The sequence below is a fragment of the Homo sapiens genome, chromosome 19 (assembly GCF_000001405.40).
Source record: "Homo sapiens chromosome 19, GRCh38.p14 Primary Assembly".
NCBI classification, from domain to species: domain Eukaryota; kingdom Metazoa; phylum Chordata; class Mammalia; order Primates; family Hominidae; genus Homo; species Homo sapiens.
In genome coordinates, this window is record NC_000019.10 from 30,681,142 (window position 1) to 30,706,260 (window position 25,119).

The 25,119-nt window shown below is 47.0% G+C and overlaps 1 protein-coding gene across 31 annotated transcripts in view, besides 3 other annotated features; it reads left to right on the top strand.

Moving 5' to 3' along the window:
* Positions 1-25,119, top strand: part of ZNF536 (zinc finger protein 536) — a 487,995-nt gene that overhangs the window by 455,550 nt on the left and 7,326 nt on the right. The gene's annotated exons all lie outside the window — the stretch shown is intronic.
* Positions 10,860-11,484: an enhancer, noted in NCBI's record as "H3K27ac-H3K4me1 hESC enhancer chr19:31182908-31183532 (GRCh37/hg19 assembly coordinates)". NCBI's record gives its function as "activates a minimal SCP1, AML or CMV promoter by ChIP-STARR-seq in naive H9 embryonic stem cells {active_cell/tissue: H9 hESC(naive)}" and the evidence as "EXISTENCE:reporter gene assay evidence [ECO:0000049][PMID:30033119]".
* Positions 11,485-12,107: an enhancer, noted in NCBI's record as "H3K27ac-H3K4me1 hESC enhancer chr19:31183533-31184155 (GRCh37/hg19 assembly coordinates)". NCBI's record gives its function as "activates a minimal SCP1, AML or CMV promoter by ChIP-STARR-seq in naive H9 embryonic stem cells {active_cell/tissue: H9 hESC(naive)}" and the evidence as "EXISTENCE:reporter gene assay evidence [ECO:0000049][PMID:30033119]".
* Positions 20,088-20,288: a silencer, noted in NCBI's record as "peak3430 fragment used in MPRA reporter construct". NCBI's record gives its function as "represses an SCP1 promoter by STARR-seq MPRAs in K562 erythroleukemia cells {active_cell/tissue: K562}" and the evidence as "EXISTENCE:reporter gene assay evidence [ECO:0000049][PMID:32103011]".

The following is a 25,119-nucleotide window of genomic DNA, read 5'->3' on the forward strand; positions in this document are numbered from 1 at the left end:
TGGGATGAATGGCTCTGTATCCTCCATGGATATGGAAAGTCTGTTTTAAGGAATGAGACCCGTGGAGTGGGCAGGAGGGTCACTGCTTAGTTTGCCCTGCAGCACAGGAACCCACAAGGGTCCTGACTCCTGGGGCTTTCTGCAGACCTGAGCGCCAGGCCTGTGCAAGGTGCTGAGGAGGTGTGCTAAGTTTGAGTCAACAGGCAGCTGTGCACTCCTGCTGGAGCCAGTGTGGGAGATGTTGTGGACTGAGGGGCATCACAGGGGGCTTCCTGGAGGAGGAAGCCTGTGAGCTGGCGGGGAGTGGGGTAGGAAATAGGGGCGTGCCCAGCAGAAAGTGCAGCTTAAGAGCTCTCCGCATGAAGCGCAGGAAGTCTTTCCCTGGTGTCCCTGGCCTGCTTTAGCTGGGGCACCAGCCAAGAAGCTGGATGGAGTCCTAAGGGCCCCTCCTCCTAGCACTTAGGGCAGCTCTCTGCCCAGCAGATACTGGTGGCGTTGATCCTTTCTCTCCTATTGTCATAATTTGGATTCTAGGAAGCCACGCTGCAGACTGGTTTACCAGGCGGGAGGCTGGTGCCGAGCAGCCTCATTTGATGGGTCCTAATTACTTAGGAGCAGAAGTGGCTCCAGTCCTCCAGGTCCAGTTCCACCCTCTGGTCTCTGGGTAGCCCCCCTTCCCCAATGACATCTCCGCCACGCTGGAGAGAACAGCCCCTCTGGAATCCGCAATGGTGTCAGCCCAGCCAACGTGGGCTCCAACAGACGTTAATTGTGTCCCTGGAGGAGGCTTCCCTGAAGTTGGGGTCACTCCACTGTGTCTTCCGTAAGCGATTTGTGCATAATCGACAGTGCAAATGGGAAGGAAAAAAGGGAGGGCAGTCCCAGCTTAGCAGGGTAGGGGGACAAGAGAAAGAGGCCTGTATTGCCTTTATGGCCCAGGAAGGAGAACAACGAGGGAGGGGCTTGCGGACCACCAGGGGCCAAAAAGCTGCATCTTCAAATCTCCAAACCAAGGAGCTCACTGGGTTCTGACCCAGCCAGGCAAGGGGATGAAATCTTAATGGTATCTCTCGAACTCTGCAAGTTTTGGGTTTGCATACAGCCTGTCCTCAGTAACCCCCAAGATGAAGCTGCTGCGTGCTGAGGACTCGAGGCGAGGATGTGTTTCCCCAAGAAAGGAGGAATCTATAAGAGACATGATGAGATGTACCGTTCGAATTGGTTTCTCTCCCAGAATATACATTTGTGCTGGTCGCGCGTGCACACAGCATACAGTGTAATTCACACACACGCACACAAATGCACGACCAGCCGCATCGAGATTCTTGGTAGAGGACCAGCTCTCGGATCAAGCTGGCAGAAGGAGGCAATTCAGATACGACACCCCTTTCTTTGGAAGGGTGCCTTCCCCACCTCCATCCCCAGGGAAAATCTGCCAAATGGGCATAATATTAAGTAACGTTGGCAGGGGGCAGCTCACGGTCCCTCCTGACGCTGCTTCCTGGATCTGCAGAGATGGTGTCGTTGCTTTCCTGCCCTCCCTCTCTGCCTCCCCTCAGCCCGGAGGGGAAATGAGGGATGAAGAACGGGGTGGTGGCACCCTCTCTCCCCCAACACCCTCCATCCAGGCAGCACCTCTGGCCCCGGAGGTGCCCTCTCCCCGGGAGTGGAAAGAATCACCCGTCTCTTTTTGGCACCAGCACCCTCCTGAATGCCATGAGAAGCTGGTGACCTTCACTCTGGTCTCCATGACGACAAGATGGTATATGTTTAATTAGTTCAGGCTTATTTTAGGACCAATTTTCTTTTATTTTAGGGCAATGCGAGCTATGATAACTGTAAGCATGTTTACGAGGCGCGCGAGGCTTAGCTGAAATGTGCCAACAATTCTAGTCAAACAGATGGTGACCCCTGATTCAACTTGCCCTCTCATTCAATTATTCAGCTGTATTTAATTTTCCTCCGAGTGACTCACGCGCCGTGCCTCCGGCTGCCCTCTAGGTGGCGCGAAAGACCACCTTTATGGCTGCGAGGCAGGGTTGAAAGCCGGGTCTCGGGGAATTTTCTCAGCCTGGCCTTGGCTGGAGAAGAGGATAATGAATTTCTGCATTTGAACAATAGTTTCTGCCTAATATCAAATGATGTGAAAGGGTGGAAAAGAATTGGGTCAAATTGTATGTGATTTGACCATGAGCTCTAAGTAATCTCCTTTCTAATAAAGGAATTTGAAAGACCTTCCAGGCTTAATATCCTCCCAAATAATTTGTTTGGAGTTCAAGGAGTGTTATGGTGTTAGAGCTGTTTCTATGATTGCGGATATGTTCTGTTTGCATTTGGAAAACCTCTTCTGTTTAATTTTTAGTAGCTGCCAGCCCACCTCATCTGGGACTAGGAGGATAACCTGAGCGGATTTTTTTTTTTTCTCTTTTTCCCTCTGATGGTTTCTGCCTGCCTTCTACGCTGTCAAGGCTTAGCAGTATTTGAAAACTGGATGTCCCTGTAAAGGGGAATGAAATTGCTCACTAAATATCTTTTCAAAGACATGACCTTTCTAATGCAGGAACCAAAGAAGCGTGTGGCCACACCCATAATAACAACACATTGGATTTCTCAGAACCTTTGGGAAAGGAAACAGCCTACTCAACTATCACCCACTCCACTTCATCCCATTCTGTAACACCTTAGACAGGAGGGGCTGTACCTTAGACATGCTCAACTCACATTTCTTGTCCATCAACATAGCTAGGTTAATCAGAGCAACATGGAATCATACCTTTATTCATCAATCAGTTAAGAATTCATGCCTTTAGTATTGCTTTTTTTGATACATTAAGACAAGCTTGTAACCGATCACTCATATATTTTTCTCCAAGAATATCTCTCTTTAGAAATCTTCTTGGAAAATTATCTATCTTTCCTGTCCTGCATTTGGTCAAACCACAAGTAAAAGAACCAAGATCAACAATGACTCACATGTACACACACACACACATATATACATATATATATTTGAGATGGGGTCTCACTCTGTCACCCAGGCTCGAGTGCAATGGTACAATCTCGGCTTACTGCAACCCCTGCCTCCTGGGCTCAAGTGATCCTCCCACCTCAGCCTCCTGAGTAACTGGGACGACAGATGCATGCCACAATGCCTGGCTAATTTTTTTGTGTTTCTGGTGGAGATGGGGTTTCACTATGTTGCCCAGGCTGGCCTCCAACTCCTGAGCTCAAGTGATCCGCCCGCCTTGGCCTCCCAAAGTGCTGGGATTACAGGTTTGAGCCACCGCGTCTTGGCCTCACAAAAATCTTAATGCATAAACTGCTTCTAAAGACAACACGTCAACTTTCCATGGATTCACGGTCCAGGTTTTGGTAAGGAAGTTCACTTTACCTGAAAACTCTTAGTTCTCATTTTTGCTTAAGGGCAAAATCATGGCAATAGAAAGGTTAAAACCATGTGCACCGATTTGATTCCTGGAACTCCATTTTTACAGGCTTGGCTTTGGTTTGCTTTCCTGCTTTATCTTATCCACCGATGGCTTGGTTCGGTCATTCTGTGTTAGAGGTTCTGCATGTAAACCAGGGAATCTTTGGTTCAGGCAAGGGAGGGGGCTGTTGCTTCACAGCATGACTTTATAGGGGCTGATTGACGCAGGGGGCGGGACATGGGCAGCGGTCGGGACCTGATCCCGGGCTGAACAGCCAAGGGCCCTTACCAAGCCTCCGAGGGCAGATGCAGTTGCACCCTATTTATGTCTGGGACACTCAAACTTAGCCTACTGGGGCCACTTATGTTTTCAGTGCGTCTTCCAGGGGGTTATGTGGGAGGGGGTTGTCTCAATTACAGCTACTCAGGCCACGCAAGTGAATTGTACTTAATACCTCTGCCCTCTGATTAGCCTACCAGATTGGACTCAACAGCTTCCTCAGATGATCAGAGCCCCCTTATCCTTTTGGATAACTTTGTGTTGGTGGGGGGAGGGGTCTTTATCAAATCCTTTGGAAGAATTGGGTAAAACACCAAAGGGGTTTGGGTGTGTCCCATCTGAGCCCTTGGGGTCTCTGGATTTTCTGCTCTGAGGGTGCGACTGCACCCCTGTCTCCCATGCTTCATCTTCCACAGGGATGCAATGACAGTGAGTAGGGGGCTTTAGAACAAGTCCTCGAGGTAGCCCCATCTGAGCTGATGGAGAGACTCTTTCTGGATATCTGTGGGCTCTTACAGCGGGAGTGTTTTTATTTGTAGGTGTGGGGTGTGTGTGTGTGCACAGACACATTCATAGAAACAAGCCTTCTTGATGCTTTGCAGGGAAACCAAACTCTGGTATCCCCATCCAGCTTGGCTCCTTGCAAACAGGGCCCATGGAACCCAGGGAGGTAGAGACGGAAGGGATGGATTGGGAGGAAAAAGTCAGGGCAGCTTCACCAGGGAACACACTCTGTAGCCAAGTCACGATTTTAAAAAAATAAATGCCATAAAAATCATGGCTTCTCTGGACCTCTGGCTTCAATATGGGATTTGTACATATTACATAATCTGTCACTATAGTACTGTATATTAAAGAAATGGCCCCGTGCAGAGGCAACCAGGGGGATGGGGGCACCGTCCCAGCCGCTGCCGCCGTCCTCCCCTCCATCATGGGCTGGGACGCTGTCAGCTCCACCACCTGCCCCACGGTCCTGCCACGTTGCTGAGATCCCAAGTTACTCTGCCTCCTGGAACGTCATTTGTTTTTCTTTGTTCGGAAGACAGGCTACATGAGCATTTGCGTGAGGCCATCTGTATCTCTGCAAAGAAATAATGGAGCAAGGTAGAAAATGTCTGGGTGGGGAAGACCCCAGTCTGTGGCAATGGCTGAAGATGGGGCAGGGGCCAGAGAAACTTTCTCCAGGGTGTGATGTCTGAATCCCTGTGCCCAGGAAAGGGCCTGCACAACTTCTTTGCCCCTTCCCTCTCTCACGTTCTCAGCTTCTGCATTTACTCCCCACAGCTCCTTTCCCTCCTTGCAGTCCTCATTTGCAGAGTTCTGTGAAGATCATTTTGGGAGTGTGAGCTGTCTCTAGCCAGCTCATTCTGCAGTAGCAGCGAGCACCCCCCAACTCCCAGGAATCAACCCCCAACACACACACACACTTTTTTTTTTCTTTTGCAAAGGGCCAACTCTGTTTTTTTCCTGAAGGTGGCAGTGAAAGAAAAAAAATGACTCCCTTAGAAGAGTTAGGAATTTTATTACAAACCAGATGGAGCCGCGGGCATCCCCGTTGTGTGTCCCCCACCCTGTGAGTGTGTATGTGTGTGTGCACACCCAGGGGCACTGACAATGGAAGCTGCAGCCCCCCCAAGTGGGGCTCACACAGGGCGCGGTGGCCTCCCCTGGCACCGTGGCACCGTGGCCCAGTGGCCCAGTGCCAAGTGGCTGCCGTGCTCAGCCAGCCTGCTCTTCGTCCTCCCTCTTAGTCCCTTACCAAGATAATTGAGGATATAATGGCGGGGAAGGAGCCCGCCGGCTCCCGCGGGCTGTCAGGTATCTGCGCGCGTCTTCATGTCATCCGTCAGCATTGAGCTCCTCTGTCATCTCTCCTCAGCCTTCAGCGTCGCACACTCTCATCGCCTTCATTATCTCGGCTCAGGCCAGCCCTCCCCCCACTCCCCCCATCCAGTAAATGCATCTTTGTGCAACTCTCAGTCTCCGATTATGAATCGATGATCATGTGGTATAAGAGAGATAGATGGCTTTTAGTTCCATCCTGTCTCCCCTAATTGTAAAATATTAGTTACATTACACTGTGTCTTTTGATTAATGGAACTTATTTGGAGTAGCCTATCCGATCCCTCCCCCTTCTAAAGTCCTCCACTGACTTTTGAGAATTGAGTGATTTCACTTAAAGCAGACAAATAGGCCCTTCAGCGAGGAGATAGCAAGACTGTGATACTGTGGGCAAGACAGGCTGTACAGACAGAGTTGTGTATTCCAAAGAAAGGCTTCAGCCCGGCCGGGCAGACGCGGGGCTGCAAATGCATGCCTGGGCCGGGGAACTTCCTTCCCTTCTTTATTTCATCCTCTTTTTGGCAAATCTAGCCCATCTTGCTGACTTGCAAAACAGGATGTGAAACAAAATTTAATTAAAATTAAATAAATTGCAGATTTGCTACATTCCCACATGTGGCTCATGAGAAACCAGTCAAATCTGAACTTTGATGAATTCGAGCTCTCACTCTACTGGGCTCCCTTCTTAGTGTACAGGACGGGGCATCAAAGGGGCGTTCTGCTGCCCACGTCCGACACAGGGAGAGATATTTATCTTTAAAGCTGAATTTATTTTACTTGGCACTATTTACTTAAATATGGTCCGTTGATAAAGTAAGCCCTTCCCATACAAAAGGGAAGTCGGTGGCTAAATCTCTTATTATAAATAATCACTATCAGTGTAAACTCAAGGTCACGTTCACTTTCAACCTATGAGCTCAATTAAAAAAGGTCTATTTACTGTCGATGTGTATAATATCTATATGTCAGGGAAACAGGGAGACTTCATAAACAAATCAAATTTTCAGCAAAGAAAGGCATTGCAGCTTAGGAATTTCAGCATGCATTTTGAGGGAGCACTTTCAGGCCTCCTGCTGTATAAAATACACACAAATATTTATGTCTATTTTATAGAATATGCCTAGTATTTCATTCTGACCTTTGGATTTTTTTAAAAAAAACTTTTATTTGCATGATTCTTGAACACACTGACTATTACGTATTTTCTGGGGACATGCTATTTCACTTAATGCACTGGGCAAAAGATTGATTTTATTACGTGTAGAGAAGCTGCAAATGTTTTACTTTATTTTTTAAAAAAGAGCATAACAATGTGTTTATGACTGCTAAAAAAAAAAAAAAAAGGGCAGGCAGCAAAACAAACCAAGCCTGAGTTTCAAATTCATTCTGAGGATTAAACACCCAGAAAACACGGAGATTAGAGATTGGAGGGCTGAGCCCCACCGGTTCAGTCCACCTCCCATCTCCTGCCCAGGGCTGTGCAGGGGGCCTCACAAGTGTCTGGAGAATCAACATCCACATTTGTTCTGGATTAATAACTCAGGTGCCCGGATCTCTCCTTCCCAGCACCTGAGCCTCGATTTTGGAATTTCTGTATTTCGTTTTCATGTGTGTTTTGAGTCCTTGCTTTGAGGAGAGTGTGTGCGTGAGGACTCTTTGTTCTGAGTGTCAAGGGACTTTTGTAAATGTCAGCTGAGTTTCGGCTGCTGTGTCTAATAAACCTCCTTAGGGCTTAAGATGCACTTTCTCCAAATTTTCATCAGCAGCATCACTCACTTAGTTATCTACATCCATCATATTTTGAGAGTCTTTTATAGAATATTCTTAATACAGCGTGTGAATGCATATTGACAATTGTTGGCACTTTTATATATTCCGCGATACACATTTATCTGTTATGGATCCATAATATCAAATGTGTAGTAAAAAGCTATATCAAAAGGCAGTTATCCCACATGCATAAAACACTCTCACATGGTTGCTTTAATTTTCTTACTACAGCTTTTGAAACCCCCACTTAATACTGATGGACTCCCATATTTCATTTAAGTGTGTGCCTGAGAGGAGCTGAGTTGCTTCTAAGGCGAGTGGGTAGCTCTGGCTCTTACTGGGGGAAACTCTGTGTTGGGGCTAAGCTCAGAGCATGGGAGCCTACACATCACCCTGGCTGGCCCTCCTGGTAGCGCTCTGGGCTGGAGATGTTTCACCTCCTGGGGACTGGCTGCAGAGAGGGTGGTCTGAGCCTCCAGGGACCTGGCCTCCCCTGAATAACAGCAGCCAATATTTATGGCCATAGCCTTTGACAATATTGGCCCGCTCTGCTCCACATTCTGTGCTGAGCTCTCGATGTGTGTCATCCCCTTAGACCTGGCCATCCATTCGGAGAGAGGCACTAGCCTGAGCCCCTTTCACAGATGAGAAAACTGAGGCTTTGGAAGGAAAGAGGGACTTGTTCCAGGCTACGCAGCTGTTAAGAGCTGAAGGTAGAGAGCTGTCTGCCTCCAAAGCTGAGAACAAAATGTTCTCCTTCCTTCTTGAACCTGTCTGCCTGCATCTGGAATTATTTGGAGCTTTACGCTAACCTAACACTGGATATTATCCTGTTGTTTTGAAGATTCAATGAGACATTGATTTGTGTACAATACCTGATCACAGTAAGAGCTCAAATGCCAAAAACATGTCCGTCTGTGAGGGCAGAGGGGATGTATAGGCAGCATACCCTGTCCAAACAGGAACATTTTCTTTCAGGAAATGCTCATTGCTGCTTTCCTTTTTCAGTTTTCTAAATCATTTTGGGAGGGGAGAGAGTTTAGAAAACTCGTTTATTTGGGTAAGATTTCTGATGGGTTGTGGCTATTCCTGGGACAATGTGATTGTCAGGAAATGTTATCAAAATGAGGAGATTCCCTCTCAAAGGTACATGGCCCTGGCCTTGGGAAGAGACATGGATGCACTTGTCATGTTTGGAGTGACCAGCAGGGACCAGGACCATCTGGGGGCAAATGCCTTCCTGAGACAGCGTTCCCGTGTGTCCCGTGGAACAGGGAGGGCAAAAGCTCCTAGTGAATTATAAAGTCTGCTGCATGTGTGAGAGAAGACAATGGTGGCATTAATGGTGAAAATAAAGAGAAGAATAAAAAAACAGGTACACAGGCTTGTTCCTGAAGGCTGCAAGAAACAGAATTAGATTTTGTTGCTAGATACCAGAAAGTGAAAATTTCAGCGTGGCTTTTCATTTGGCATCATGGATTTTAACAAAATAAAATAAACATCTGGTTGTTTGAATGCCAGTGAGGCACCCTCTTTCCCACCACCCTGCCCCCTGATTCAGCCAAACTGTGTGTGTAAACACTGTCTTAATTGACTTCAGGTTAGGGAAGTCTGGAAAACAAGCTTAAATTCATAAAACTGGAATGGACATCCTTGAGGCCTCTCCAATCATCAAACAGTAGGTATTTATTTATCAACCACTTACTGGGCGCACGGCTTTGTTAGGTATCAATGGGGAACAAATGCCGGTAATATTGGTCCACCATCCTAGAGGAGGCCACATTTGGGGTGAAAAGACTCTTCTAGCAAAACAAAGGTCCAGTGAAGAACTAAGTCCTGTTGTAGAGAAAGGGGAGAAATGGGGCCTTCTGAGGATGGGAGGGGATGCCAGAGAGGAAGCGATTTGAAAGGGATTTGAATCCGGATAATTATGCTGGCGATGAGTTTGGTAAGGAAGCCTCATTTAGTTCACATTCAGGTCGAGTCTCTCTCTTTCTCTCTGTATAAAGATGTGTCTATTTTGAGACTCAGGAAAGAAATGATTCTATTTGCAAAGTAGATATTTGTTTGTTGTTTATTAATCATCACGAACAGCTTTCCACTGGATTCACTGGCACTAAATGGCTGCCCTTCAAATCTTATCCTTAAAGCAGGATCTTGGGGTTCTCTGGTGGTTCAGAGAGGAGGGGTTTGGAGCCAGACCACTTGGTTTCATACCCAGCTGCCCCATTTCCTGCGTCACCCAGGCACATGACTGTCTTTGCACCTCAGTTTTCCCGTCTGTAAAATGGAAGGATCGTAGTAATTGGGACTTACCTTACAATTTGTGTAAGGACTGAATGGCACATAATCAGCTGTCCCATTCTTAAAACCAAAGTGAGGAGGATCTGATAAAAACCACTCCTCCCCTGCAAACAACATGATTTTTGTTTTCCTTTTGGCAATGCTTGGTTTTTTTTCTCTTTCATTTTAGCAAATCATTGTAGAAGGAATTTTGCAGCTTGACTGAAGATACCGGCTAACTATTGTGAGTAGTTTATAGCCTGGTGGTCAGTGAGGCTGCTGCTTACGGTCTGAGCTAGGAAAGGCAGAAGAACATGTTTCTAGAGGAGTTAAGGGCTGGAGGTGGGGAGGGAGATTTGTTTGCACAGACCAGAGGCCTCCCAACAAAATCTCCAAGATCTTTCAAAAGCAAATCAGACCGCTGACCAGCTGGCTGAGCCGGCAGAGTTGAGCAGGATCTTTCTGTATTAACCGTGAGGTCTGCTCAGGAGACCACCTCCGCTGGCCCACCCCCCACATGCACATGAAAAAAGGAGGCAGACTTTGCATCAGGGCGGTCGTCTCCAGAGATCTGCGGCCAGGGGACAAGCCCGTCCCCGCTCGGATCCCAGGCCAGATGGAACAGGAAGATCCGGATACTAAAAATCAACTTGTCACCGAGACATTCCTCAACTGTTAATCAAATTGGGGCTGAGGGTGAGGGGGTGGGAATACCAAAAGGACATCAAAGGGGGTCTCACGCCCAGACTCCGCTCCGTTTCAAGGCTCTGTAATTTGGGAAGGTTGTATGCTAAATAATTTGCGAGGCTCCCAACATGCAGGTTATTGTTTGTGGACAGATGGTGCATTGCGTTTTATCGCTTTTCCTTCTGTGGGCCCTCATATGTGGGACTGATGTGTATTGTGAAGTCTTTGTCTCCTTGCTAAAATCTCTAATCTAAAACAGGCAATCAAGCACAGAGGCAGGGCTTCAGAAGGCATCATCAGAGTTTTAAAAGCAAAGAAAAAAAAATGGGGAGGGGGGAAACCAGACATCCAACTGCAGTTACGAGGCAGATGTGTTTGCAGAGAACGTGAGAGGTTATTAGGGTATTAAAAGTGGACAAATGAAAGGGATTCGGAAGCACAGAGGGAGAGAAAGGGCCACGCTGTGGCAGTGGTGGGCACCCGGGTGGTGATGCCTAGCATCACCCCTGCCTGCAGCCTCTGCCCGGGCCTCCACCTCCCCTCCAGAGACCGGGGGTCTTTGTCTCTGCAGGCGGTCATGGCCGGGCCTGGGAGGCCCCCTCTCGGATCCCAGGCTGCCCTTAAGAGTTAAATCATGTGGATATACAGGAAGGAAATGAAATAGACGAACTTGCTCCTCTTTTCTTCCTACGGATTTTTCTTTTTGATTCTGAAGATAGAATTACTGTTTGTAAGCATCTGAAAGTCATTAGAAACCCTGCAGTCTGTCAGGTGCCGACGCAAGAAACTGCTGAAACCAAACGGGTGCCTGCACCGAGGGCTGGGAATTCATCATGTGCTGATGAGCAGTTATAATAATATATGAGCAAATCACAAGCATTCTGCAAATTAATCAAATTTTTTTCCCCTTCTCCCTTGTCTCTGGGAGAGTGGCTTTGCAGGCAGACGTAGGTGAAGCAGTTTTACTCACAGATGGTCGCTCTGGCATCAGATGGAATTTATATAACAGTAATTCTGATTCTTTGCCAAAGAGGCAGCGAACACACCAGGGAGATTGTAGAAGGCAAGTCATGTGGTTTTGCTGAGGTTGTTGTGGGAAGTTTAAGGGGGGAAATCTCAAATTTTCCTCTTTGCCTTTACTGTTTTTGCCTGAAGGGCCAGAAACGGAACGCCGTTCTGCCATGGGCGAAATCCGTCACGTCTTTTCTCGCGACTTGTGCTGAAAGAGTGCTTCGCAGCTGTTGCAACTGCTGGCGGTGACAGAGCCCCAAGACTCCGGCTCCTGGCTGGCTCCTTACAAGATTTAAAGGGGAGAGGGTTCAGAAGGTGGCCACGCTGCACACTAGGAAGAGGCAGAGCTGCCTCCTCGCACGCCCACAGCGCTTACTTACCCTTCTGCTCCCTGTGGCATTGCTAAACCTATAAGGGCTTTTCTTTTGAAGTGTTTTATTAAATGAAGAGTCTAACAACCCTCACTTTAATTACACACGGGCTCCGTTTATAATTCCTCTGGATTTATTCAAGTAGTTGAAAACGATGGTGCCTGGTGATTAAGCTGATCATCTTAGTTTAGCAGCTCCAAAACCTGGGGGGGAGAGAGAGAGAGAGAGAGAGAGAGAGTGTGTGTATACGTGTGCAGCGTGGAGGTGCTACTAGTGTGTGCTTGCACATGGTCGCTTGTCCCTATGCCTCTCCGTGCTTCGGACACCCCCCACTCATTTTAAACTTCTCTCTCCCTTGAGAAACCTCATCTCGCATGGGACAAAGGGATACATGAGCTGACCCTCTTGGGTCCACACTGGATCACACCACAAGGTGCCCTTATCCCTGCTGAAGGAAGGATGATACCAAGATGGCGTGTAGACTGCATTATGCAATACAGTCCTGATGCTGTGAGGTTTTTTTCCCCCTCCCCCTGATGTAAAGCCCTGCCCATTTGTTTTGGTTTACGTGACTACAGAGAAATAAGTGGATTAGATGGAAACTTTCACATGCTTCATTGCAGCTGGGTGCGGACATCTGTCATTCCTCAGCCATATTCTGGATTATGCCAGCAAGAGGATATGCAAAGTCTGACACCTTTGATTTTAGAGAGAGCCTTTTATAGTGGGGGGAGAGAAGAGAAGAAAGGAGGCTCATTTCCTTTGTGACTTCATAAAAAAAAAAGAAAGACACCTCTCTTCTGTGTTTTATTTTATTTATTTATGTCTGCCACGTGACATTAGTGGCGCTCCAGGATGAGGGCTGAGCATTGAAAAGTTTATGCTTCCATCTTTCCTTTTTACTTTGTAATTTTCTATTGTTCACAGTACCAATTTGTTGAATTGGGCATGATAAAAAGTAGCTATTTTAAATATATCCAGTGTGCCCATCTATATGGATATATACTGTGGGTATGGATTGCGGGTGTCTGATTCCTTTATGGGAAGAGAGATGTGCGATTCTTTCTCACACATAAACTCACATTAATACAATACAACCTCACTGAATTTTGATGGAATGTGACTGCTCCCGCGACACTGTTTTTGGTGAGCTGCTCTGCAACCCATATGGCCCCCCCAACCCACTGTAGGAAATGCACTAATGTTTTTATGAAAGATGTGTGCAGGTAGTGAATTATCCACAGATAACCTTGGATGCCAGCTTTCAGTGGATTGGATATCGATACACTTAAGGTGCTTCATGCTGGTGGTTTCATAGGTTGGCCCCTCCCCTTGTGGCTTTCCTGGTGCCATACAGAGCACAGCACACCCTTGGCACAAGCCAAGTTCCAATATTGGCCCCCCTCCCACATTTAAGTTGTACAATAAAACAGAAACTACAATTAAGGGCTGATGTGTTCATTTTAAGCGACACAATGGAAAACAGGAAGTGATTGAACCAGCAGGGACCACCCACTTGTTTATTTCACTGGGTGTGTACAAGAATGCAGTTCATCTGCTGGGTGAAAAAACACACAAAGCCTCACCCAGTCTCCCTGCCCCAACCTCAAAGAAAGTGCAATACTGGCTGTTTAGTTGAGAGTGGTACAAAGTGGAGATTGGAAAGTCCAGGGCCCACAGGCGCCTGGCTGGTGATGCCTGGGAAGTAAATGGGTGCCAGGCAGCGGGAATAAGTGGGACCCAGCTCCCCAGCGGCTGCCTCCAGGAAGATCTTGCCAGACCTCCTGACTTTGCAAGAGAAACTGGAAATCCATGTTTTAATGTGAAATATTTTTTTAAATGTAACATTGGCAATGAATTACATTTTTTTTTAAAGAAATAGTGTTGGGGGAAAAAAATATGTGGGCCTGCAGCTTGTAACCACTAGGAGGGTGAATGCATTTATGTCTACAGCAGTGATGGAATCTATGGTGCAGCCACTTGGCCCCCATGGGGGAGGCCTGTGGGCTTTTGGAGCTCACAGTCAGGGTGGGCCGTGCCATCCCAGTCCCCCACAGAAAGTGGTAAGGTGGAGGGCAAGAGTGAGGAGGGCAGGGCGTGGTTCTTGGAGATGTGATTGGGATTCTGAGCTTCAATGCAGGAAAGAGGAAAATGCAGAGCTACCCAGTATGTCAAGGTGCACCTGAGAAGCCGTTCAACACTCTCCACCAACGTGGAGAATGGGAGGAAGAGCGTAGTATTAATAGCTGAGATTGGGGTTACTAAAGGGACCCCCTGGAACACAGAGCACTCAGATTTTCCTGCTGAGGAAAACAGCAAGGCATGGTGGGGCATTCCAGGTATGAGGCACAGACCAGGTAGGGACAGTGTGCAGGGGAGGGTGCTCCAGGGTCACCTGTTAGGAGGTGTGGCCTGCACGGAGGAAGGAAGCCAAGTGCCAGGCTCTGAGCAGGGTGTGCATAGCAAGGTGGGGACTCCTGTGGGCTGAACCCCCAGAAAGAGGTCCTTCAGTAAACAACGTCTGGTTCCTTATCCAGTCCCTACTGTGTGCAGAGCCCGCCAGAGGGCAGCAGTTTCCAGCCTCCTAGAGCCATTAGCGAACAGTGCCTGACAGAACATAATTAAGTGCCTAATTGTGTGGTGCCACAGATAAGTGGAGCTCTGCAGACTGGGTCCTGAGAACCGCTTCTAGGAGGAGTTGGGGCTTTGGCGGGTCTCAATGGAAGAAGATGTGGGGGCTGGAGATGGGTGAATTTCTGGTAGGAACGACAGTGTATAGTAGGTAAGAAGGGATTGCAATTTGGAAAGCCAGGTTAAGGAGGTGAGATACTGCAGTGAGAAATAGGGAGCCATGGATGGCTATAGAGGAGGGGTGGGCACATGTATAGCCAGGATTTGGGGACTTGACTTGGTATGGATGGTGTGGCTTTCTTCTGCCTGGAGAGGTCTCACTGTTGGTCTGAGGTGGACTATTGACCCAGTGGACTTGATGGTACCCAGAAGAGGGTTTACAGGGACAGGGCTGGCTGTCACCATCTCTGCTAAATTCCGTGCATCCTTACAGCCCATCTTATTGCCAACAGGGATTTCAGATAACTGTGTTTAGCCCAATGTTCCTAAGGAGGGAAGCGAGGGATATTAAATGTGTATCATAGGTGCTGCGTCTGCTAATTTTAGACTCCTTATTTTTGCCATCTCTGAGTGTCACCCTAATAATTTCACTTAATATTTAAAAATTAATTGGTTAAAAACTTAAAAATACACAACTCTAGCTTTGTTTTAGGAATAATATCCAACTCTGATTCACTAGTTTTTGGGATTTTTGCTAAAGCTGTTAACCTGAAAAGTGGTCAGCTTGGTTCCATTTAAAATTACCTTTGAAGCCGGTTTAATAAGCACCTCTCCCCCAGCCCCCGCAATGTTGGAGAGAGAAGGGAATTTCTGGAGGAGTGAGGTGGGCCACCAGCCCCTCCGCTCCCGGCTCCCCCACTCCAGCACTTCCAGGCCAGCGCCTTCTCTTTGGTTTCTCCCGGCATTTCTTTAAAGACTAAATGCACTCACCCAGAGACAAACTCTGGGTATCATTAGAGTATTATTATATTACACATCGAAAAATCTTCAAAAACGGAATGTAAGTTCATTGACCCTTTGAAGGTTATTTAATGATAAACATAAATGCTTTCATAAAATCCGGGCAATGATTTAAGGTCCCCGATCAATAGTTGCTGTTGAGTGCACACTGGCAGGGCAGGCCGGCTTGCCTGACCACCCAGGCGGGCTGATGGCTCCACTCATCAGAGGAGCCTGGGTAAGCAAATAAACAGGATATAAGGCAAAATCTGTAGGGCATGCGCAATGGCGGGGGATGAAGTTGCTGGGGAAGGGAGCCACCTAGAGGCCAGGCCCCAGGAAGAGTAGCCCTGAAGCCAACACCTGGTGGGGCTGAGCTGGGAGGCATGGGAGACTCTGCACCACCAGCCAGAGGCTCCTCTCTGCTGATGCCCTGCTGAAATCTGGCGACATCTAAGCTCTTATCCTAACTCAACTTGGGCCTCAAGCTGCAGGGAGACAGCAAGACACAGTGCAGGTTGAGCTCCAGCTGCAGGACCATGTTCTGCCTCTCTCTGGCTTTGTGGCTCTGGACAGATGCTGTGCTAGTCCATTCTCACACTGCTACAAAGATATGATCAGAGACAGGGTAATTTATAAACAAAAGAGGTCTAATTGACTCATAGTTCTGCATGGCTGAGGAGGCCTCAGGAAACTTACAGTCATGGCGTAAGGTAAAGGGGAAGCCAGGCATGGGGGCAGGTGAGAGAGAGAGCAAGTGGGAACTGCCAAACACTTTTAAAACCATCAGCACTCATGAGAACTCCCTCACTATCAAGAGAACAGCATGGGGGAAATGGTCCCCATGATCCAATCACCTCCCACCAGGTCCCTGCCTCAACACCTAGGGATCGCAATTCAAGTTGAGATTTGGATGGGGACACAGAGCCAAACCATATCATCCAACAAATGGGAGCCCAACCCCTGATTTCAGCATTGGCAGAGGAATCAAAATGCACATCTCCCATTTGAAGTTCAAGGTTACCATGCAATGGGCACGTAGTAGGTGGAGTATTTTAATACTTACAGCCTTTTCTAGCAGACATTCATTTAACTCTATGTGCTGCACTTTGTGCTTAAGCATCAGGCCTCATCTCATTGAATCCTCACAGCAATCCTATTAGGGAGCTATTATTATTATTGCACCCATTTTACCGATGAGAAAACTGAGACTTAGAAAGGTTAACTAGCTGGTTCAAGAGCACACACAACCGATAAGAGGCAGATACGTTAGAGCCTTGGTGTCTGGCTTGAAAATCTACAGTCTTCATCACTGTGCTTGAATAATGAAAAATGCTGCATGCTAGCAGGGCAGTGGCGATTTCTCAAAATCTGCTCTGCTGCCTTCCCTGATCCTTGGGTTGCAGGCCCAGCAGACTGTGTGTGTGCCATATGCCCTCCAGAAGTTTTCGTGTCAACAGAAGTTAAGTATTACCTGTTTGGTTCTGTGACTTTGGAAGCATCTCTTGATGTGGGGTGTTGGTTTCTTCCTGTTCACAGAAAATCAATCAAATCCACTTTTAAATAAACTTTCAAAATAAACTTTTAATTTTAGTATGGATTTAGATTTATAAAAATGTTTCATAGACGTGGGATGTGGTGCTTCACGCCTGTAATCCCAGCACTGTGGGAGGCCATGGCAGGCGGATCACCTGAGGTCAACTGTTCAAGACCAGCCTGGCCAACATGGTGAAACCCAGTCTCTACTAAAAATACAAAAATTAGCTGGACCCATTGGTGCACGCCTGTAGTCCCAGCTACGCAGGATGCTGAGTCTGGAGAATCACTTGAACCTGGGAGGTGGACGCTGCAGTGAACTGAGACTGCGCCACTGTACTCCAGCCTGGGTGACAGAGCAAGACTCAGTCTCAAAAAAAAAAAAAAAGTTTGCATAGATAATACAGAGAACTCTCATAGATTTCACCGCCATTTCCCACTATTATTAACATCTTACATTGGTAGGGTATGTTTGTCACAATTCACGAAGCAATATTGACACATTATTTTTAAATAAAGTCCATCTTGTATTCTTAGTGTTTTAGTTTTTATCCGATGTCCTGTTCTGCTCCAGGATACCATATTACCTTAGGTGTCCTGTCTCCTTCCACCTTCCTGGCTGCAACAGTTTCTCACTTTTCTTGTTTCTGATGACCTTGACAGTTTCCAGGAGTATTTTGCAGAACGTCCCTCAGTTGCAATTTCTCATGTGTAGACTGGGGTTATGGATTTAGGGAAGGAAGACCACAAAGGTAAATTACCATTCTCATCATATCAAGTCAAGGGCACCTGCTGTCAGCCTGACCTTGGTCTGCTGGCTGAGGTCATGTTTGTCTGGTTTCTCCACGGAAGTTACTCTCCCGTCCCTTTCCATACTGTACTCTTTGGAAGGAAGTCACTTGGCACAGTCCACTCTTAAGGAGTAGGGAGATATGCTCCGTCTCCTTGAGCAAGAAATAGCTACAAAATTATTTGGAATGCACAAGGCATTTGTCAATCCTTCCCCCTGTATTTATTGATGCAATCATTTATGCCAGTATGATTTGTGGATATTTATTTTAGACTCTGGGTCATAATCTGATATTATGTTGTTTACTTTGTTACTCAAATGGTTCTACCTTTGGGTATGGGGGCTTCTTCAGCAAGCTCTGTGCTAATCTGACACCCCCACTCCACCATCAATATGTGGGGGTTTTTTTTTAGTACTTTCTTACTTTCTAGCACTAAATACCCCGGGATTATTTTGGTGTATTTCCTATCCCAGTCCTAGAATCAGCCATTTCTCCAAGGAGCCCTGGTTCCCTTTTTTTGGGAGTGGTATTAGAAACCAATGTCACCACTTCTAGACCCTCTCAGCTGACAGAATAAGGAAATATATGCTTGTGTACTAACTCCTGTATATACACACATCTATATTATAAATATGAAGTTAAGCTTGAGTTCACACAGATGTCTTCAATCCATTACCACACAGATCAAAATGCACTTGTAAAATAAGTACATTTTTTTTTGGGTAGCCTTCTAAATTAAAACCCAAATCACAGGAAATTTGAAACCTAAATTTATTTGTACTAAGGATATTCCAAAGTGTTTTAGCATCTTTGATGAGATGGATGAATATTTTTTTAAAACTGAAAACATAAATTACGTACCTGATTGGAATCATTCTCGCCTATTTGGAATTAGGAAATTTTTTTAAACTATATGTGCAACTGAGAAAACGGCTCTCTCTGTGGGCCTAGTGATTCTTTATGTATATTTTTACCTCTCTCATTGCCCTGCTGAGCCACTGAGCCTCTTGAAGCTGAAGGCAGGATTGCCAGGGTCCTGGGCTGGCATCCTCCCATTTTGCAGCCTCAGGGTCAAAGTGGTAAATATTCAAAGGAAGCAGCAGGTGATGGTGAGGGGCTTCAAGGTCCCCAAGTGAAGACCAGCCAAGCACCCTGCAGGCCTGACCCACTCATGAACCTGTTGTACCACCATACCCAGTGGATTCCCCCCAGGCCGGCGGGGCCCACTCTGGGGAGCTGAATTTCTTTTTCCTCCTTTCCTTTCTCTCTTCTTTCTCTTTCTCTCTTTTTTCTCTTTCTTTCTTTCTTACTTTCTTTCTTTATTCCTTTCTTTCTTTCTCTCCCTCCCTCCGCCTCCCTCCTTCTCTCTCCCTCTTTCTTTCTCTTTCCTTCCTTTCTTCCTCCCTCCCTCCCTGTCTCTTTCTTTCCCTTCCTTCCCTTCTTTCCTTCTTTCTTTTCTTTCCTTCTTTCTTTTCTTTCCTTCTTTCTTTCCTTCTTTCTTTCCTTCTTTCTTTCTTTCTTTCTTTCTTTCTCTCTCTCTCTCTCTTTCTTTCTTTCTCTTTGTGTCTTTCTTTCTCTCCCTCCCTCCTTCCCTCTCCCTCTTTCTTTCTCTATCCCTCCTTCCTCCCTCCCTCCCCCCTCCTTCCTTCCTTCCTTCCTCCTTTCTTACTTTCCTTCCTTCCTTTCTTCCTTCTCTTTTTCAGAGTCTTGCTCTGTTGCCCAGGCTGCAGTGCACTGGCACTCCAACCACTCACTGCAATCTCCAACTCTTGGGCTCAAGTGACCCTCCTGCCTCAGGCTCCCAAGTAGCTGGGATCACAGATGTGTGCCACCATACCTGGCTCATTTTAAAATTTTTGTAGGGATGAGGGCTTATTATATTGTCCAGGCTGGTCTTGAATTCTTGGCCTCCAGCAATCCTCCTGCCTTGGCCTCCTAAAGCTGTGGAATTTCAGGCCTGAGCCTCCCGTGGCCCTGAATTTTTAATGTATCCTATTGACCTATAAGAGGTCAATGTATCAAATGTATCCAATGGTCAAATGTATCCAATTGACCTATAGGGGGATACCTTTTTAATGTATCCAACTGACCTATAGTGATGAAGACCTATAGTTTCTTACCTAGCTGCAGGCATTGCCTAAATGTTCCTAATTTCAAGGAGTTCAGGCGGCGCTGGTTGTGCAGCTCTGGGAGAAGTGTGTTATAGGGAGCCCCTCTGGGTGCTAGTGGGCAGTGGCTGTTCTCAAGCCTTACAGCCCTGTGTGTGGGAACTGATGCGGAGGCTGCTTCTCTCCACTTGATCACCTGCTCCCTTCTAGGCAATGGCACTGTCAAACGTGGATGCAGGACGCCCTTCTGCAGTAGAGATATTTTGTGATCCCATGCTCTGAAAATGATGTTCCTCGTGCTCAATGCCCAGCTTTGATGGGCTTCTGTTCCTGTAAGGGGAGTGACATCTGGTGCATGTGCTATATCTCACTCTCACACACACACACACACACACACACACGCAAACACACACAGACACACACAAACACAAACACACACACAAACACACAGACACAGACGCATACAAACACAAACACACATACACAAACACACACAGACACACACAAACACAAACACACCAACACACACACAGACACACACAAACACAAATACACAAACACAAACACACAGACACACCCAAACACACACAGACACAAAAACACACAAACACACACACAGACACAAACACACAGAAACACAAACACACAAACACACACAGACACACACAAACACACACACAGACACAAAAACTCACAAACACACAGACACACAAACACACAGACACACAAACACACACACAAACACACACACATACACATGGTACACACCCCTTCAGGGGGTTCATGGACCACCTCTTGGAGCATCTTTGACTCCTAACCAGAGGCCCCTCTTTGTAGAGACTCTTCCAGCAAGCAGGTTGCAGTCCATGGCAGGAGCAGGTGGAGAGACGAGCATTCTTTTAGAGAAGACATGAAGTTGAATTCCTGATCAGTAAGCAGTAAGTTCCATACGTGTGACTTTGGATGATCATTTAATCTCCCTGGATCGGGGATTTCATGTCTGTAAGGTGGGAAGACATCCCTCTGCCATATCTCCCTACTGACAGTCATGAGGACCAACTGAGGCCACTCATGCTGATGCACTTTGATGAGTGGGTGCCAGAACATGTTCACCAATGGGCACTGTCACCACTCCAGGACTAAACACCACAGGGTGGTCACCTCTTCTCTCCCCACTCTCTTACCCTCTGTCCCACACTTGAGGAGAAGCCATCAGTTTGGAAAGTCTGGAAGCCCCATAGACGCAGCCCCCTCTCTTCCACAAAGCCAGCTGCCCACAAGTGTGGTGCTGTAATGAATGGATGGCCCTCCCAAGGGCAGGCATTTTCTACTCCCCCTTAGGTGCGGCGAAAGAGCAGATATTTCCATCCTAGCAAGTAAGAAAAATATCTCGTTTCCCCACTTTCGTTATAAACAATGTACGACTTGCTTTCTCCTTACTCCTCTTGACCCTCCGCACTGTATACATATTTATATATTATTCATAGTGGATTAAAAATGAATGTGCTCTTTACCACGGCTCTACGGCGCAGCGACAATACAAATTAACGTATGATGTACTTACTTTTCGCATGGCAGTGATGGGAAATGTTGATGGCCTCAAAGTGAGAGGTAGAGAGAGGGGAATGAGGTGGGGCGGGCAGTTGGGGGGGCCCCCATCTGGCCACACCACCAGGGCTCTGAGCCCTGGATAAAGATAGATGGGGATTGGGAACATTCTGGGAACTGGTGTGGCGGCAGTGCTGGAAAAGTCTTCCCAATTCTCTTCTCCCACGGAACGAGGGCCAAGTTTCCCGGTGGATCCTGTGTGCCTGGCCCCTGTTCACCCTCCCCACTGAGCTTCCCCTGTACCTCGCTGACCTGCTCCTAGGATGCTGCACTGACCCAGGCTTCCTGCTTCTGTGCCTGGGCTCAGGTGTGCCCCTCAGACTGCAGTAGCACTGTCTCTCTTTCCTATCTCCTGGCAACCTGTTTCATTCATCTGTTCCTTTGCTGGAAAAAAATGCTTGGCGGAAATCTGTGATGTGCCAAGCACCGTGCTGGGTGGTGAGTAACAACAATCATCAAAAAACCCAAACAACCCCAAAATAAAAGCTCAGTCCTTGCCCCCGTGGAGCTGACAGTCTGCCTGGTGGGGAAGACAGCCGTGATTGTTTTATTTGTTCAGCTTCTGCTAGCAGCCAGACTGAGGAAGAGGCGTGTGCTGGGATGTGTGTCACAGCCATGGTGGCAGGCCTGGGGTCATCCGGGAGGCCTTCCCCAGGCAGAGGCAGCTGCATGGAGGCCTGGAGGATGAGTTTGCAGGAGTTGGATGAAGTAGGGGCAGGCAGAGTCCAGATCGAGGAGACGATCAGGGAGGATCGAGCAAAGGTCCCGGGGCAGAAAAGAGCATGATGCATTTGGAGAACAGAGAGAAGTCTCCTGTGGCCAGAGTGCAGCAAACTATGCAGGCTTTAAGGGAGATGAGGAGGGGGGATGCTCAGAGGCTCAGATTCCTCCTGGCAGGTGTTACGGGAGCTCCCCATCACTTGTACAATATCACAGCCCGCACTGCCTCCCAGTGCTGTTTGGGACCTGGCCCCCAGCCAACTTAGCCCTACCTTCTAAATGGGGAGTTCCTTCTGGCAAGAGGCCTCACCCACATCAAATTCTATCTCACATTTGCTGAACTTTCTCCCAGTGAAATGCACCTGTTAACAACTTGTTCCTTTGGGCTTTGAAGGTCCTCCGGTTTCCCAGATCCCCCATTCAAATGCCTATGCCCCAAAGAGAGACAGTCCCTTAAGCTTTCATGGTGCTACCTGCGGCAGGAAGCACAGGACAGTGGCACAGGAAGCACTTGCTAAGTCAGTACTTTCGATGAAGAACCAGGCAGAGCTTCCCCTGAGTCAGCTTAGATCAACAGCAGGATGACAGCAGCAGCCGTGCCAATCACCAGCAGCCGACATCTTGGAGTTCTTCGTCATTTACCAATGTGTCACATGCCATCATCTGATGCTCACAGCACTCCTGTGATATAGTGTCAGTATTATTGCATCATTATCAAGGTGTGGAAATGGAAGCCTTGAGTTCTAGTGGTTGCCCAAGGTCAGAGAGAGAGAAGATTGAAGTTCAGGGTGCTAGTAGCTTAGCAGCCTTACAAAAGAGGGAAGCAGTGGTAGGAACCCAAGCTCCTCAGTCCACTGGGGAGAAGGAGTGCCCTGAAAGTAAAGCAAAGGTGCCAGAACAAGAGAGCTCTGGGTCTTCCTATTTGACCAAAGGCCATCCTGGAGTGTGGTGCTTCTTAGCAAGTTCAACTTGGGAGAGGCTATCGCCTTGATGCTCTCTCCAATGGGGAGCTGGCAGGAGTGGGTGTTATTCTCTTCAGTTCCGCCACAATGGAAGCCTGCTTGACCCAAGTCTGTCTTAATACTTATTCTGCATCTTCAACATTGATGGACATTAGCATCTTCCTTACACCTCTAGGAATCCCCAAATCTAGGTCCAGTCAACTAAGATGGCACAGGCAACATGGCTGGTCTTTTGTTTCATTAAAAAGAGATAGATGGGCTGGGCACAGTGGTTCACGCCAGTAATCCCAGCACTTTGGGAGGCTGAGGTGGGCGGATCACCTGAGGTCAGGAGTTCGAGACTAACCTGACCAACCTGGTGAAACCCCACCTCTATTAAAAATACAAAAATTACCCGGGCATGGTAGCAGGCACCTGTAATCCCAGCTACTTGGGAGGCTGAGGCAGGAGAATGGCTTAAACCCGGGAGGCAGAGGTTGCAGTGAGCTGAGATCGTGCCATTGCACTCCAGCCTGGGCAACAAGAGTGAGAGTCCATCTCAAAAAAAAAAAAAAAAAAAAAAAGAGATAGATGGAAGTGAGCAGGCCACTGAGGGGCTGCCTTGTCACCTCTGGGACTGCAGCGGCTTCTCCTCTGGGGATGAGATGACCTACCTCCATCTAGAGAGATCTGACTTCTTCCAAACCCACAGCCCCCTCAGCAGGAATGTCTCGCGGTGTTGTTCCATGGGCCCCTCTTGCTGCTGCTGCCTTCAGGAGGGTCTCTGCTGTCAGAAATATGTGAAATCCACAGGGACGTATTCAGCAGAGCTCAGCACTTTTTTTTTTTTTTTCTGGAGCACTTGCTTATGTTCTCTGACCCAAAGCCAACAGATCCCAGTCTTATTATCATCAGGGGCTTTCACAGGGACAAATGGTAGAGAGACATTTGGAACTTTTTATCCAGATTTACTTGGACTCAGAAATGTGTCATGTCCAACAGTACTGTGCATAGCAACAGCTTTCTGTTTGGGAATAAATGTTCTCATCATCAAAAGATCAGGCTTTCAGTTATATTTGATTCTTGGGAAAATATAATGGCTTATTCCGGGCCTATCATAGCTTCTCCCAGTCAACTTCCCCAAGGGTGGGCCTTTCACTTCTTCATAGAACTTTCTTCCACATCAGTCTCATGGGAGCCTTTCAGCAAACAACTCAGAAAGATGTGTGTGTGTGTGTGTGTGTGTGTGTCTATAAACAATATTATGGATATAGAATAAAACGCATTGTAAATTGTGTATAAACTAACACATTATGTGTGTGTGTATGTGTGTTTGAGCCTATAAAAACACATTTTAATCACAGTCTTTGTAATAAGTTTAGAGAATGAGGGTGACTAAGTACTTTATATCCATTGGAAATTTGTTTTAAAGCCAAACCTTCTAGATTCACTGTATCTCAGCTCTCTCATCTGTACAATGGAGCTGATATCATCCCTTGGCAAAATTGTCCAAAGCTCAAATATGAGGATAAACATGCAAAAATGTATGTGAAAAACTGTGGAATGAAGGTCTTCAGGGTCTTTAGGTACTATCAGTATTATCTACAAAGCTTCTACTTACTAGATACACTGCAAGATCAGGATTTATTATGATTCTAGCATTGTATAGACTTCTTTCTACAAATGGATATGTGCATAGCTTTAGATGGATTTACATATAGATTTCCATCTCACCTAAGTGAAAATGAAACCAATTCAATACTAATGTTTTGACCAGTGAAGTATCCAAATCTGCCAGAATTATTATTATACATTTGGCTATTACCAAGAAACAGAGATTCAAAATATAACCATAGGATAAAATCATGATTAATATTTTAAAATCGATTGGTGGAAAAAAGGTACTAAGTGCTTTTATACCAAGTTGGCCAAATCAAAAAGGCTTTCATTGCAAATAAAGGTGATATCTGAGGTCCACATTTTAGTTTGCCAAGAGGCACGTTGCATCACTCCTGTGGCAGTATCATTTGTAGGGAGGGTGGCTTCCATGTAGCATAGGATTCATACGTGAAATTATTACTCAGTAATGTGACAATCGAAAGTACAATAGACAGTTGGCTGGGCGCGGTGGCTCACGCCTGTAATCCCAGCACTTTGGGATGCTGAGGCGGGTG